General features: G+C 46.6%; 2 annotated features.

The window, feature by feature from the left end:
- Positions 9411 to 9520: an enhancer, noted in NCBI's record as "active region_92". NCBI's record gives its function as "activates an Ori minimal core promoter by ATAC-STARR-seq in GM12878 lymphoblastoid cells {active_cell/tissue: GM12878}" and the evidence as "EXISTENCE:reporter gene assay evidence [ECO:0000049][PMID:35858748]".
- Positions 10051 to 10250: an enhancer, noted in NCBI's record as "active region_93". NCBI's record gives its function as "activates an Ori minimal core promoter by ATAC-STARR-seq in GM12878 lymphoblastoid cells {active_cell/tissue: GM12878}" and the evidence as "EXISTENCE:reporter gene assay evidence [ECO:0000049][PMID:35858748]".

Raw genomic sequence — 15869 nt, forward strand, 5'->3', positions numbered from 1 at the left:
AATACAAAAAAAAATTAGCAAGGCGTTGTGGCAGGTGCCTGTAGTCCCAGCTACTCTGGAGGCTGAGGCAGGAGAATGGCGTGAACCCGGGACACGGAGCTTGCAGTGAGCCCAGATCGTGCCACTGCACTCCAGCCTGGGCGACAGGGCGAGACTCCATCTCAAAAAAATAAATAAATAAATAAAATAAAAAAAAAATAAATAAATAAATAAACCAAGAAATAGATTTTATTTCATTTTGATTGACTATAGGTCTAATCTTGAATATCTCAAGCAGCTAAATACTTTGAGGCTAAATAGCATGAAGGCCCAACAATTCTAAACAGGATAAAGGAGACATTTAGAAAGAGAAAGCCCTCAAAATAAGCTTCCTATAAAATATTCTTCCGCCCTTCCAGGGCGCATCTTAGAGGGAATCTCTTCCGTGGGATATTCACTGTTTACACTTGTTTTCTGCCTGAAAGATCTATTCTTTCAAGATTCAGTGTCGCCACCCCTACTCCAAACACCCAAACTAGTAGTCACTATTAGACATACCTGGTGCTTGTGATGTCAGTAGGTGTTCTGAGGCCTGGGAAGGAGTAAATTGTTTTTAAACTTGGAACAAAGAAAATGAGCAGGAAATCAAAGAGGAAGGAGGCAGAGTAAGGAGAAGGAAGTACGAATCATAAGGAGAGGCGGGTGTCAGCAGCCATCGACTTTGCTCACCTTTCCTCCTTGTTCTGCCCTTTCTCCAGGTGGCATCCACTCATATGCTAAGGCTTATCAATAGTTGTCTCCAACTTCAGACCACCCCCAACACTGTGCAGTCCCCAGGACAAGAGTACAAACAGAGGCCTGCTTACCATGTGTCCAAATATTTAGAAATTGTTCATCAATCCAAATACGCTGTTAAGTATGTTCTGTCCAGAGCAGAGACACAAACACACAAACACAATGAACACAGAGCTGCGTCTGTGACTGGGTGTCTGGCGCACGGTGCTGGCATAGGGATGCATTAACTCGGCTCCATCTGCTCTCTGGACCCACACTGCCAGGCCTGGGTGAAGACTCCCCCACATCCCTGGATCCATGTCCTTGAAACTCCATTTGAGGGTGACACCGTGCTGTGAGAGTTGTGAGCTGTGCTGTTGCCTCCAAGAACGGCAGGGAGGGTGTGAGCCATAGAAGTACCAGGCAGACAAAAGGCAAGTAGATTTGTCAAATCCATCTCAGATACCAAGGGTGTAACAGATTCTTGTATAATCTATTATTATGCAAGAATATCACAGACAGTGGTATTTCCCTACAGTCCCAAGTATCCTTTTTTTTTTTTTTTTTGAGACAGGGTCTCACTCTGTCACCCAGGCTGTAGTGCAGTGGTGCAATCTTGGCTCACTGCAGCTTCTGCCTCCAGGGTTCAAGGGATTCTTCTGCCTCAGCCTCCCGAGTAACTGGGACTACAGGTGCGCACCACCTTGCCCAGCTAAGTTTTATATTTTTTTGTAGAAAGGGGTTTTGCCATGTTGCTCAGGCTGGTTATCCACTTGCTTGATCCAATTTATGGCCCACTTGGTGGTTTTGGAAGTTCTTGTATATTGCCATGGAATTCACAGCAGTTATGCACAAAGTCTGAGGAAGACTTTGTAATATTAAACAATTCATATTATTCTTGAATATGCACATATGTAATATGTAGAATAAGAACTGCAGCATTAATTCTTTACTAGAATCACCTAGGACTGAGACCCAGAATGACAATTTCAATTTTTATAAAAATATTTAAAACAATTTAAATTTCAAAAGATTAAAAATCTCAGTTCTTTAATAAAAATAAGTTTTAAATATTTGATATTTATCCACTATAATTTGTTTTTAATTCTAATACTTTTGGAACTTTTAGAAAAATGAAAAAACGAATGTAAAAACAAATTTAAAATTTTACATACTCAAATTCACACATTATATTAAATACATACAAATGCTGTATATGTTAAGTACAATTATATTTTATTTCTTAATCCTTTAAGTCATTACTGTCCAAACACAAATTATGCGAAATTATCTATTGTAACAAATGAAATGAAAGCAAAAAAATAAATTTTCTAGATAAAAATACAATTATTTATGAACTATGTGTGTCTTTTTTTTTTTTTGAGACGAAGTCTCGCTGTGTCACCCAGGCTGGAGTGCAGTGGTGTGATCTCGGCTCACTGCAACCTCTGCCTCCTGGGTTCAAGCGATTCTCCCCACTCAGCCTCCCAAGTAGCTGGGACTGCAGGTGTGTGCCACCACACCCGGCTAATTTTTGTATTTTTAGTAGAGACGGGGTTTCACCGCATTGGCCAGGATGGTCTCAAACTCCTGAACTCAGGTGATCTGCCTGCCTCGGCCTCCCAAAGTGCTGGGCTTACAGGCGTGAGTCACCATGCCCGGCCCTGTATGCCTTTATTTACCACTAATTTAAACATTTTCAGGTCATCAGAAAACATCTACACATTTGTAATGTTAGTTAAACTCAGTCATCTTTGCCAACTTTGTTACATAAAAATAATTTGTTATTTAGTTACTTTGAAGACTTCTCTGTGAAGTAGAATATTCTCCTTGCGCTTGATTTGCCACTTTTAAATATTCAGACATGGTGTGTGGGCCCCATTTCTATACTTGCTCCAGGCCCCAAAAGTGTTAGAGACAGCGCTGAGAGACACACAGTTGGTAGTCAATAAACCTTTATCAAATGAACAAATAAATACATGGATTTGTTCACTCCAGTCCTGCGGTCTGCCTGTCTCTTCATGACCTAATGTTTTAATTTCACTCTCTTCCTGGGGAAATCATTCTGGCATGCAGACCCCAACCTGAGCTGTCATTGTCCTTTCTCAGGTCTCATGTAAAATGCTTTTCTGATCACGGCTGACACTGGCCGAGGGCTTACTATGCGCAAGGCACTGTTCTATGTATTTACAGAAGTTCCCACAATTATACCTTAGGACAGCCTTTGTCCCTGTTTCACAGGTGAGGAAACAAGGGCACAGAGAAGCCAGGTAGCCTGCCTGGTGTCACCTGGCTAGTAAGGAGCCGAGAAAGGATTAGAAACTCGGCTGTCTGGCTGCAGAGCCCATGCTCTTAACCAGACTCTTAACCTGCCTGTGCCCAAGGCCCCATTCGCTTGTGGGTCCTATGCTTGTGGAGCCCTCAGAATAGGATTCGTAATTCATAAAATATATTACAAAGGATTACAAAGGAAACCAACTGAATTGAAATGTCCCTGCCAAATATTTTAAAAGCCAATTTGTGATGCACTAATATATGGACTTAACATGTATCTGGCATAATTTCAAATTAATCATGAATCAAAATGGTATTCTGGGATATCTGCAAGAACTGTAATGTGATATGAAGATGACTTTCAGTACTATTGGTCCCAAGCCATGAGTACTGTTCCTTCAGCTATGCTTTGTGAATTACTATATTCCAAATGGGAAGAAATGTTAGGTTTAGATTTCCATTAGAGGTTAGTGAAACTAAAGATGTAATTTAAATCTAAGTTCACAGACTCCCTGATTTTTATCTGTGCACCTTTGAGCATCTGTGGACCTCAGGGTCACAACCCCTGTATGAAGTCTCCTTGCTGTCGCTCATGCGCTTAAACAGTTTGAGCTCTGGGAACTTGCTCTTACTCCAAGAGCAAGCTTCACTTTGATTATTTCTCCAGATGCTGTCATTGTATCTTAAGGCAAAAACTCTATGTCATTTCTGTCCCTCACCATCCTCACCAAGATGGCACATGTTTATGGTGTATCACATTCTGTGGTCCATTCCTCTGGTCCCTTCAACGCTGAATTTAAACAGATTGCGACTACCACTAAATAAATGTTTTCTAATAACAAGAGCTAATACTTATGGGTGGCTTCCTGCATTGCAGATGTTATGCTAAACACTTTAAATGTTTTATTTAGTCTCAGAAGACAGATTTTGTTCCTTCTGAAGAGGCTAAATAAAATATTTAAAGTGTTGAGCATAGGCCGGGTGCGGTGGCTCATCCCTGTAATCCCAGCACTTTAGGAGGCCGAGGTGGGCGGATCACCTGAGGTCAGGCATTTGAGACCAGCCTGGCCAACATGGTGAAATCCCGTCTCTACTAAAAATACCAAAATTAGCTGGGCATGGTGGCGTGTGCCTGTAGTCCCAGCTGCTTGGGAGGCTGAGGTGGGAGAATCACTTGAACCTGGGAAGTGGAGGTTACAGTGAGCCGAGATCACACCACTGCCCCTTAGCCTGGGCAACAGAGTGAGACTCTGTCTCACAGATGCACACAAAAAAAGTGTTGAGCATAACATCTGCAATGCAGGAACTCCATGAGGTAAGAATTATTGTTACTATTCTAATGTGAAGAAACAGAAGCCAAGGGAGTTCAATTCCTGAGACAAGGATTAAGGGCAGCATTTGAGGGTTTACTCCAGGCCAGTGTTCTAGCTTTACCTATATTCATTCATTTAATTCTCATAGTGACCCTGTGAAGTACACAGGTTCTGTGATCCCTGTTTTATAGATGGGGAACATGAGGCATGAGGGGTAACTCATTTGTTCAAGATCACTTAGCTAGCATGGGACAGAGCTGGGCTTAAATCCAGACAGGCTGGACTCAGAGAGCGAGAACAGGCTCTCCCACCACACCATACTGCCACATTTAAGGAATGGAGACACCAGGGATGGAATTGGACGCTGTCTCATTCCAAAGCTACCTTAACATCTGGCCAAGAGGTATGACTAACATAGGAGCTAGCTGTAATGGCACATTCCTGTGAATTAGTAAAAAGATGTGTTGACTCAGCAACCAAGGGTAAGACTGTCAATTCCGTGGTTTAAGAGCTGAGTTGGAAACCACATCAGAGCTCGTCTACATGAATGACTACCAAGAAACTGACGATCAATTTAAACTTTGAGAAATGTGATGAAGAGCAGAATTGACAGCCTCATAGTAGTCAATTTTTGGAGGAAGTTAGACTAGCTTAAAATAAGAGCACGTAATCAAAAACCATTAAGTAAACACGGGCTCTTTATTTTTAAATTCGGATGGCGAGAGATAGTTGCTACATGCCGTTAAAGGGAAAACTAGTCTTTGGGGTGCAGGTGACAACTGTGATCAAAGCAGTATCACCCCAAGAGGCAACATTATCCTGAAGTAACATAACTTTGTACCGAAGGCCAGCTTCTGGCTGTGGGGTACTAGCTCCCCGTCCCTAGCGTTCACCTTAACCCTTGGGAAGGAAAGTACTATTAAAATTAAGTAATATACAAATTCATCTCAACTACTGTCAATTAACATTCTAGTGTCCTTATTCAACAAATCAAAAGCAAGGCAACACCAGGAGATGGATTTTGTTTCCTTCTGAGCTTTTTAATGGTGATCAGCATTTTCTACCAAATAATTCCACTCACAAGTCGTTCTCCACAAAATCCGTCTCCTGTTCTTCTGTGTTTCCATTATAATGGAAGATTGTTGGATAAACCATTAGTTTTCATAAGATTTTTTTTCTTCAGTTAAGTATCACCATACTAAATAAGTATCACCACACAAAATAAGAGTTCCAACTGTCCCTGTGTGTAAGTTATAACTACTCCATATATATGCCTATAGGGTCTGTTGCACTCAACCTCAAGCAATTTCCAAGTTTCATTATTATTATCATTAGATTACTCTCTGTCCCTTATCAATTCAGTAAATTTAACTCAACAAGCATTTATCGAATGTCTAATGCAAATCTGCACATTTTCTAACCCATTTACTTCTCCTGTTTTGCATCCTACCACTCCCCTCTAGCCTGACTTGTTTTCAATTTTTAAATTTTTATTTATTTTTGAGATGGAGTCTTGCTCTGTCGCCCAGGCTGGAGTGCAGTGGCACCATCTCGGCTCATTGCAACCTCCGCCTCCTGGGTTCAAGCGATTCTCCCACCTCAGCCTCCCGAGTAGCTGGGATTACAGGCACCTGCCATCATGCCCGGCTAATTTTTGTATTTTTAGTAGAGATGGGGTTTCACCTTGTTGGCCAGGCTGGTCTGGAACTCCTGACCTCAGGTGATCCGCACACCTCGGCCTCTCAAAGTGCTGGGATTACAGGTGGGAGCCACTGCACCCGGCCACTCCCTCATCTTATTTGGGTTTTCTCCTCAGAAAACAGCATTCTTTGACCAGTGTCTAAACGAGCACCCTCCCCCCACCATTATTCTCCATCTTCTCTCCCTCCTTTGTTTTCCTTCATAGTACATACCACCACCTGGCATGCTATTTATTTGTGCTTTTGTTTACTGTCTGTCGTTTCCCCATGGAACATAAGCTCCATGAGAGGGGACACTGTTCACTGCTGCATCCCTGGCACCCCAGAGCACTCCTGAGAACACACAACAAGCCCTCCATAAATAATTGTGGAGTGAGTTTTATTGTCTTGTATGGCATATATAGATAAAGTGCCATCCCAACAGTTTTCCCAGCCTTGAGTGGAAGGAAGAGGTTACACAAATAACTAAGGCCACACAGCCGTACAGATTCTATAATAGGAGGGCAAAGTGCTACGGGAATAGAGAAAGTTTCCTGGAGGGATTGGCAGTGTAACTGGGTTTTCCAGGATGGGTAATACATTGAAAGGCTGATAAAGGCCGGGTTCGGTGGCTCACGCCTGTAATCCCAGCACTTTGGGAGGCTGAGGCAGGTGGATCATGAGGTCAGGAGTTCAAGACCAGCCTGGCCAACATGGTGAAACCTTGTCTCTACCAAAAATACAAAAATTAGCCGGGCATGGTGGTGGGCGCCTGTAATCCCAGCTACTCAGGAGGCTGGGGCAAAGAATTGCTTGAACCCGGGAGGCAGTGGTTGCAGTGAGCCGAGATCGAGCCACTGCATTCCAGCATGGGCGACAAAGCAAGACTTCGTCTCAAGAAAAAAAAAAAAAAAAAAAAGGAAAAAAAGGCTGACATGGAAGCAGAGGTATTCCCGGCAGAAGGAAATGCTTTTGCCAAAGCACGAAGGAAGTGAAGTTCCAGGAAGTTCCCAGAACAGATAAACTGAGTGAGGGAGTGTTAAGAGGTACGAATGTGGAAGATAAGAAAGAAGGGATTTTTGAAGCACATTGTGGCAGGATTCAAACTTTTAATCCCCTACATAGCAGTCACTGCCAAATTCAGCAGATTCACAGAACTACAGACATACGAAAGGTCACCAGAATATAGTTCTCATCCTGAATGTAGCCACTGCTTACCAACCTCCAGAGTAGGTGGGCCTCAAGATAAGGAAGGGATCTCCCGGATACAGTAAAGGATAGGGGGCAGGGAGTCAGCCAGGAAAGTTTTGCTAGATTCAAGTGTCTACCGCTGGGTGGAATATGGATTTTGCCTTGCCCATTGACAGAAATACTGGTGTAACTCCTTGATCACTGTATGTCTCCAAAGCATTGGAATTTGAAAGCATTATGGAAACAGAATTAGAGAATTATAACAGGAAATAGTAAGGGACTCAACATTTCAACTCCTTTGAGCTTGTTTTATGTAAGATCTCACTAGGTCCTCACCAACCTCTGGGCAGGCATTGCTATTCACATTTGCAAGTAAGTTATCGTAAAGGCTTTTTGATAACCCCTGACTGAAACCCTAAGTAATGGGATCTTACTCTCACTTCAAGAAATAAGATCCTCTCCCTCTCCCTCTCCCTCTCCCTCTCCCTCTCTCTCCACGGTCTCCTTCCACGGTCTCCCTCTGATGCCGAGCCAAAGCTGGACGGTACTGCTGCCATCTCGGCTCACTGCAACCTCCCTGCCTGATTCTCCTGCCTCAGCCTGCCGAGTGCCTGCGCACGCCGCCACGCCTGACTGGTTTTCGTTTTTTTTTTTTGTGGAGACGGGGTTTTGCTGTGTTGGCCGGGCTGGTCTCCAGCTCCTAACCACGAGTGATCCGCCAGCCTCGGCCTCCCGAGGTGCCGGGATTGCAGACGGAGTCTCGTTCACTCAGTGCTCAATGGTGCCCAGGCTGGAGTGCAGTGGCGTGATCTCGGCTCGCTACAACCTCCACCTCCCAGCCGCCTGCCTTGGCCCCCCAAAGTGCCGAGATTGCAGCCTCTGCCCAGCCGCCACCCCGTCTGGGAAGTGAGGAGCGTCTCTGCCTGGCCCCCCATCGTCTGGGATACGAGGAGCCTCTCTGCCTGGCTGCCCAGTCTGGAAAGTGAGGAGCGTCCCTGCCCGGCCGCCATCCCATCTAGGAAGCGAGGAGCGCCTCTTCCCCGCCGCCATCCCATCTAGGAAGTGAGGAGCGTCTCTGCCCGGCCACCCATCGTCTGAGATGTGGGGAGCACCTCTGCCCCGCCGCCCTGTCTGGGATGTGAGGAGCGCCTCTGCTGGGCCGCAACCCTGTCTGGGAGGTGAGGAGCGTCTCTGCCCGGCCGCCCCGTCTGAGAAGTGAGAAAACCCTCTGCCTGGCAACCGCCCCGTCTGAGAAGTGAGGAGCCCCTCCGTCCGGCAGCCACCCCGTCTGGGAAGTGAGGAGCGTCTCCGCCCGGCAGCCACCCCGTCTGGGAGGGAGGTGGGGGGGGGGTCAGCCCCCTGCCCGGCCAGCTGCCCTGTCCGGGAGGTGAGGGGCTCCTCTGCCCGGCCAGCCGCCCCGTCCGGGAGGGAGGTGGGGGGGTCAGCCCCCCGCCCGGCCAGCCGCCCCGTCCGGGAGGGAGGTGGGGGAATCAGCCCCCCACCCGGCCAGCCGCCCCGTCCGGGAGGGAGGTGGGGGGGTCAGCCCCCCCACCCGGCCAGCCGCCCTATCCAGGAGGTGAGGGGCGCCTCTGCCCGGCCGCCCCTACTGGGAAGTGAGGAGCCCCTCTGCCTGGCCAGCCGCCCCGTCCGGGAGGGTGGTGGGGGGGTCAGCCCCCCGCCCGGCCAGCCGCCCCATCCGGGAGGTGAGGGGCGCTTCTGCCCGGCCGCCCCTACTGGGAAGTGAGGAGCCCCTCTGCCCGGCCAGGACCCCGTCTGGGAGGTGTGCCCAGCGGCTCATTGGGGATGGGCCATGATGACAATGGCGGTTTTGTGGAATAGAAAGGCGGGAAGGGTGGGGAAAAAATTGAGAAATCGGATGGTTGCCGGGTCTGTGTGGATAGAAGTAGACATGGGAGACTTTTCATTTTGTTCTGTACTAAGAAAAATTCTTCTGCCTTGGAAAAAAAAAAAAAAAAAGAAATAAGATGCTGGCTGGGGGCGGTGGCTCATGCCTGTGATCCGAAAACTTTGTGAGGCCAAGGCGGGAGGATCGCTTGAGCCCAGGGGTTCAATATAAGCCTTGGCAACATAGCAAGACCCCGTCTCTACTTCTCAGAAAGAAAACAAAAGAAATAAGATGCCATGGAAGGGATGGCAATAAGCGTTTTCCATAAACAACCCGAGAGAGAGAAACAGAAAACGCTGTCCAAGCTAAGCCTTGCTTCCACACTGGGCTTTGCAGATTTTCCAATGAGCCACCAACGAGGTGGTTAAAACATCAGAGACTGCATCCGATTCCCCAAGACACCAAGGCTCTCGGGATGGGAACAGGCAAATCGTCGTCGTTCTTTGCTGAGCCTGCGGGCTGCGGTCACCAGAACGAATCTGGGCCCAGCAGGTGCCAAGGGCTCGACCTCCCGCCTTGCATCCGGCAGGCCGCACACACCCCTCGGAAGTCGGCGAGATCGCTGAGGCAAAGCGACTCCAGGGCGCAGAGACCCACACGCGACGCTCTAAAGGAAGTGACCTTTAGGGGCTGTTACTCTCAGACCAGGCCCAGCAGCACCCGGCGCATTTACGTCGGATCTGACCCCTGCAAGCACCGGCGCGACCGCGCTAGCGGCTGGGAACACGCGACGGTCCCGCCCACTGCGACCTGACTCGGCCAATCCCGGGTGGCGCATGCTGCGGCCGCCGGAAGTGGACCTACGTCATGCAGGTCAGTCGGTAGGTTTCCGGCGCCCAGCGCCCCGTGGGAGTTGTGTCTGGTGGCCCACGCTGGGGGGGGGCTCTTCACACTGGTGGGCGCAGAGGCGAAGCCGTTCCCAGGGCCCCTCACAGAACTCGGTGTCAGAATTTCCCCCCTTGCACCAGCGCCGCCTCAAATGTCAGGGCTCGCCCACTCTTCTCCGGTCTCGCCGACATAACCTTTTGGGGGCTCCAGAGGGGAAATTTGCCGTTTCTGCCGGACCGCTCTAGAGCGTGCCTGAACCCGGCCTTTATGGGATGTTGACAGCTACGTTTATTCAGTGCCCCAGAGGCCTTCTTTATGCCCAGTAACTACAATTTAAATTCCTTCTCTGCTTCATTTTGTAGTCGTCTGGTGAATTTGACGTGAGAAATAAGATTAAAATAGGAATAAGAAATTAGTTGAAATCACATTGTAGAGTTCTGCAAATGTAAAATATTAATTTATAGCAATAAAGCAGGCTGTCAAATAACAGAGGATGAAAGCAGGATAATACTTGGTCAGAACCTGCTGTATGCCAGGGGCTGTGACAGATGCTGGGGATTCAGCAACCACCAAGACAAGAAGGTTCTTCCGGCGTTCACAGGACTAGGGGAAGACACAATAAATAACTAAAGGCAAAATGCTAGAATGATGCGCTCTCTCTCAAGATGAAATATAGAACATGATTTATTTTTTATTTTTATTTTATTTTATTTTGAGACGGAGTTTCGCTCTTGTTGCCCAGGCTGGAGTGCAATGGTGCGATCTAGGCTCACTGCTACCTCCGCTTCCCGGGTTCAAGCGATTCTCCTGCTTCAGCCTCCCGAAAGTAGCTGGGATTACAGGTGCCTGCCACTACGCCCGGCTAATTTTTTTGTATTTTTAGTAGAGACAGGGTTTCCCCATGTTGGCCAGGGTGGTCTGGAACTCCTAACCTCAGGTGATCCACCCGCCTCGGCTTCCCAAAGTGCTGGGATTACAGGTGTGAGCCACTGCGCCCAGCCGAGAACGATTTATTTTAGAGTGTTTACTTAATGAGATGCCTAATGTAAGAGTGACCCATGGAAAAATAATAACTTGGCAGCAGTTTTTTTTGCCGCTAAGATCAGGACAATTCTGAGGGGAGTTTTGTTTTGGAACGATGACCAGATGGCCATGGGTGGCTATTACTAACACTGTCAATGCCATTTCTCTGTTATTGCCTTGTGACCTCCACAGGCAGAGCAATATTTCATCATTAAAAGTTGCAACTGCTATGAGAAGCTACGTTCCTTGAAAACAGAGTTTTTGGCCAGGAATAGTTGCTTATGCCTGTAGTTCCAGCTACTTGGGAGGCTGAGGCAGGAGGATCCCTTAAGCCCAGGAGGTGGAGGCCAACCTGGGCAACATAGCCAGGCCCGGTCTCTAAAAATGAAATAAAACCGGCAGTTTCTTCCTTCGTACCTCCCGCAGTGCATAAAGAGTTGTCAAATGTTGAGTTAAAAAGGTAGTGGATAGGATGGGGCGGTTCTGCCTGGAAATTGGAGACTGAACTAGGAAGTGTCTTCGTTGTCAGTACTACAGCAGTATTTTTTGGTAAATGGTTTAATTTTTTGGTTTTATCTTATGAATGTGTGATGAGAAATATGCATGAACTATAGAGTGTCTTAAGTGTAACTGACTTTTAATATTGACAGTATATGGTGGGTAGAGTGTGAAATTTAGCATCAGAAATCTGAATTTGACCAAGACTGCAGGACCTTATACAGTCATTTCACCCTTCTGGACCTCAACCTTCACATCCGTGGAAGGAAAATTGTAACACCTGCCAGGAAGTCAATATATAAGGTCTAAAGATGATAAATGAGAAATAAAATATTAGCATACTGTTTCAAAATACTGATACACTACCAGAAGAAACAGTTGAAAGAGTTGAAAATACTTGCTTCTGGGGAGCAGGGCTGAGGGGAAGGACTGAGTTAGAGGGCTGCTGCTGCATGGATTCACTACTGCTCTGTAGCAAAACCTGGCTGCTACAGTTCACCGTTGGGTTGTAGTAACTCTGTTTCAGGTTGTTAGTTGTGCAGGTTGGCTAGGGCCGCTCTGTTCCACATGTTCATTCTGAAACCCAGGTTGAGGGAACAGCAGCAACTTGCCTGGGGGAAAAGCTCTTCCTACAGCAATTCAAAAGTAGAAGAGCACAACCTAATAATCAGGGCAGACTTTTCAAGGCTTTGTTACAGGTGTCTGTTAACATTCCATGGACCAAAACAAGGCCAAACCCAAAATCAAGGGACAGGAAGTAGACTCCACCCATGCAGGTGGAAGGGGAGTGACTATTTCTGAAAAATAATCCAATCTGCCGCAAGTAATACTTGACTTTTTAAAACTGTGCAGTGTATTCACTTGGTAAGAATTAATGCTGACTGTGGTCCATTTCAGGTCTTGATGGTGATGCGTATGTCTCAGGAATGTTAACTCCAGTTCATTCTCTCTGGCTCTCACTGCTGAAACATCTGTCATCTTTAGGCTATCGTGGCTGTCTCATGCTGTAGCAGACCAGGAGCAGGAGCATTGGTGACTCCTTTTAGGAGTTTACCACGGGGCCCGGGCTCGGTGGCTCACGCATGTAATCCCAGCACTTTGGGAGGCCGAGGCTGGTGGATCACTTGAGGTCAGGAGTTTGAGACCAGCCTGACCAACATGGTAAAACCCTGTCTCTACTAAAAACACAGAAAATTTAGCTGGGCGTGGTGGTGCTTGCCTGTAACCCCAGCTACTCAGGAGTCTGAGGCAGGGGAATCACTTGAACCCCGGAGGCAGAGGTTGCAGTGAGCTAAGATCATGCCCCCACACTCCAGCCTGGGTGACAGAGAGACTCAAAAAAAAAGTTTACCACGCAGACTGGATCAAAAAAGCCTGTCTTCTTTTGGTTTTCCTTCCATCTAACTGTATCCCTCCTTGGTTCTAGAAGCACACATCTGACCACTTGTCTTTCCTCTTTCTCTGTCATTCCTGTTTTCCACACTCCTTCACAGCTGCTTCCTTTGCAAATAGCCAAAAGTGAAGTCATTCCAGAACTCCTAAAAGTTTCTTCTTAAATGTCATATGATTAAAGACATTTCAGACTTTTGCACAAGTTCAGTGTTCATCAATTATTCACATTTTTTTTTTTTTTTTTTAGAGACACAGTCTCACTCTGTCATCCAGCCTGGAGTGCAGTGGCATGAGATCATGACCCACTGCAGCCTTGACCTCCTGGGCTCAAGTGATTCCCCCGCTGCGCTGTCAGCCTCTCAAGTAGCTGGGACCCATAGGCGTGTAATTTTTAAAATTTTTTGTAGAGACAGGGTCTTGCCATGTTGTCCAGGCTGGTCCCCAACTCCTGGGCTCAAACAATCCTCCCGCCTCGGCCTCCCAGAGTGTTGGGATGAGACACCCCGCACAGCTCCAATTTTTAAAATTAAATAAAATAACACACTCACCATCATTGTAAGAATCACATGAAATATACCAAAGTGCTTTGTAAACTAACAAAAAATTTATTTCTTGAAATAAATGTGGCCAGGTGCAGTGGCTCACAACTGTAATCCCAGCACTTTGGGAGGCCGAGGTGGGCAGATCACTTGAGGTCAGGAGTTTGAGACCAGTTTGGCCAACATGGTGAAACCCCGTCTCTAATAAAAATACAAAAATTAGTTGGGCATGATGGTGCACGCCTGTAGTCCCAGCTACTCGGGAGACTGAGGTACGAGAATTGCTTGAACCTGGGAGACAGAGGTTGCAGTGAGCCGAGATGGTGCCACTACACGCCAGCCTGGATGACAGAGCAAGACTCTGTCTCAAAACAAAAACAAAAACAAAACAAAGAAAATAAACGTGATTTTTTTTTTTTTTTTGAGACAAGAGTCTCGCTCTGTCACCCAGGCTGGAGTGTAGTGGTGCGATCTCAGCTCACTTCAGCCTCCGCCTCCCAGGTTCAAGCAATTCCCCTGCTTCAGCCTCCCGAGTAATTGGGACTACAGGTGCAAGCCACCATGCCCAGCTAATTTTTGTATTTTTAGTAGAGACCGGGTTTCACCATGTTGGCCAGGATGGTCTCGATCTCTTGACCTCGTGATCTGCCCACCTTGGCCTCCCAAAGTGCTGGGATTACAGGCACGCACCACCGCGCCTGGCCAGAAACGCGATTTTAATATCTAAATTGAAACCTTAAAAACACTGATGTATTTAGGCCAGGTGCTGTGGCTCACACCTGTAATCCCAGCACTGTGGGAGGCCGAGGTGGGCAGATCACTTGAGGTCAGGAGTTTGAGACTAGCCTGGCCAACATGGTGAAAGCTCATCTCTACTAAAAATACAAAAATTAGCCAGGCATGATGGCAGGTGCCTGCAATCCCAGCTACTCTAGAGGCTGAGGTGGGAGAATTGCTTGAACCTGGGAGGCGGAGGTTGCAATGAGCTGAGATTGCACCATTGCACTCCAGCCTGGGCAACAGAGCGAGACTCTGTCTCAAAAAAAAAAAAAAAAGAAAAGAAAAGAAATTACTAGAAGAAAACACTGGGGGGGGGGGGGCCAGGCACGGTGGCTCACACCTGTAATCCCAGCACTTTGGGAGGCTGAGGCAAGTGGATCACCTGAGGTTAGGAGTTCGAGACCAGCCTGGGAAACATGGTGAATCCCTGTCTGGACTAAAATACAAAAATTAGACAGGCATGATGGAGGGTGCCTGTAATCCCAGATACTCGGGAGGCTGAGACAGAGAATCGCTTGAACCCAGGAGACAGTGGTTGCAGTGAGCCAAGATTGCGCCACTGCACTCCAGCCTAGGCGGCTGAGCGAGACTCCATCTCAAAAAAAAAAAAAAAAGAAAAGAAAAGAAAGAAAACACTGGGGAAATGTTCCAGGGTATTGATCTGGGCAAAGACCTCAAAGCACAGACAACAAAAGCAAAAACAGACAAATGGAATTACATCAAACTAAAAAGTATATGCACAGCAAAGGAAACAACAAAGCAAAGAGACAACACACAGAATGGGAGAAAATATTTGCAAACTATCCATTTGATGAGGGACTAATGACTAGAATATATTAGGAGCTCAATAGCAAGAAAACAATCAGATTTAAAAGTGGGCAAAAGATCTGAATAGACATTTCTGAAGAGATACAAATGGCCAAGAGATATGAAAAAGGGCTCAATGTCACTAATCAGAGAAATGCAAATAAAGACAGTAAGATATCATCTCATCCCAGTTAAAATGGCCTTTATCAAAAAGGGAATAACATGCTGAGATGGATGTGAAGAAGGAACCTCATACACTGTTGGCGAGCATCTCAATTAGTGCAGCCACTATGGAAAACAATATGGAATCCTCAGAAGATTAACTTCTGAGAAATCATAAGTTCTGGAATCATAACTACCATATGATCCAGCAATCCCACTACCGGTATATACCAAAAAGAAAGGAAGGGCCAGGCACGGTAGCTCACGCCTATAATCCCAGCACTTTGGGAGGCCGAGGCAGGCAGATCACTTGGGGTCAGGAGTTCAAGACCAGCCTGGCCAACATAGTAAAACCCTGTCTCTACTAAAAATACAAAAATTAGCCAGGCATGGTGGCACACACCTGTAGTCTCAGCTACTCGAAAGACTGAGGCACGAGAATTGTTTCAACACAGAGGCAGAGGTTGCAGTGAGCCAAGATGGTGCCACTGCACTTCAGGCTAGGCGACAGAGCAAGATGGAGTCTCAAAAAAAAAAAAAAAGAAAGAAAATCAATATATCAAAGAGATATTTGCACTCCTATGCTTATTGTAGCACTGTTCACAACAGTCAAAATATGGAATCAACCAAAATGTTCATCAATGGATGACTGGATAAATAAAATGTAAATATACACAATGAATACTATTCAGCCATAAAAAATAATAAAATCCTATTTGCAACA

Source organism: Homo sapiens, chromosome 1 (assembly GCF_000001405.40).
Source record: "Homo sapiens chromosome 1, GRCh38.p14 Primary Assembly".
NCBI classification, from domain to species: Eukaryota; Metazoa; Chordata; class Mammalia; order Primates; family Hominidae; genus Homo; species Homo sapiens.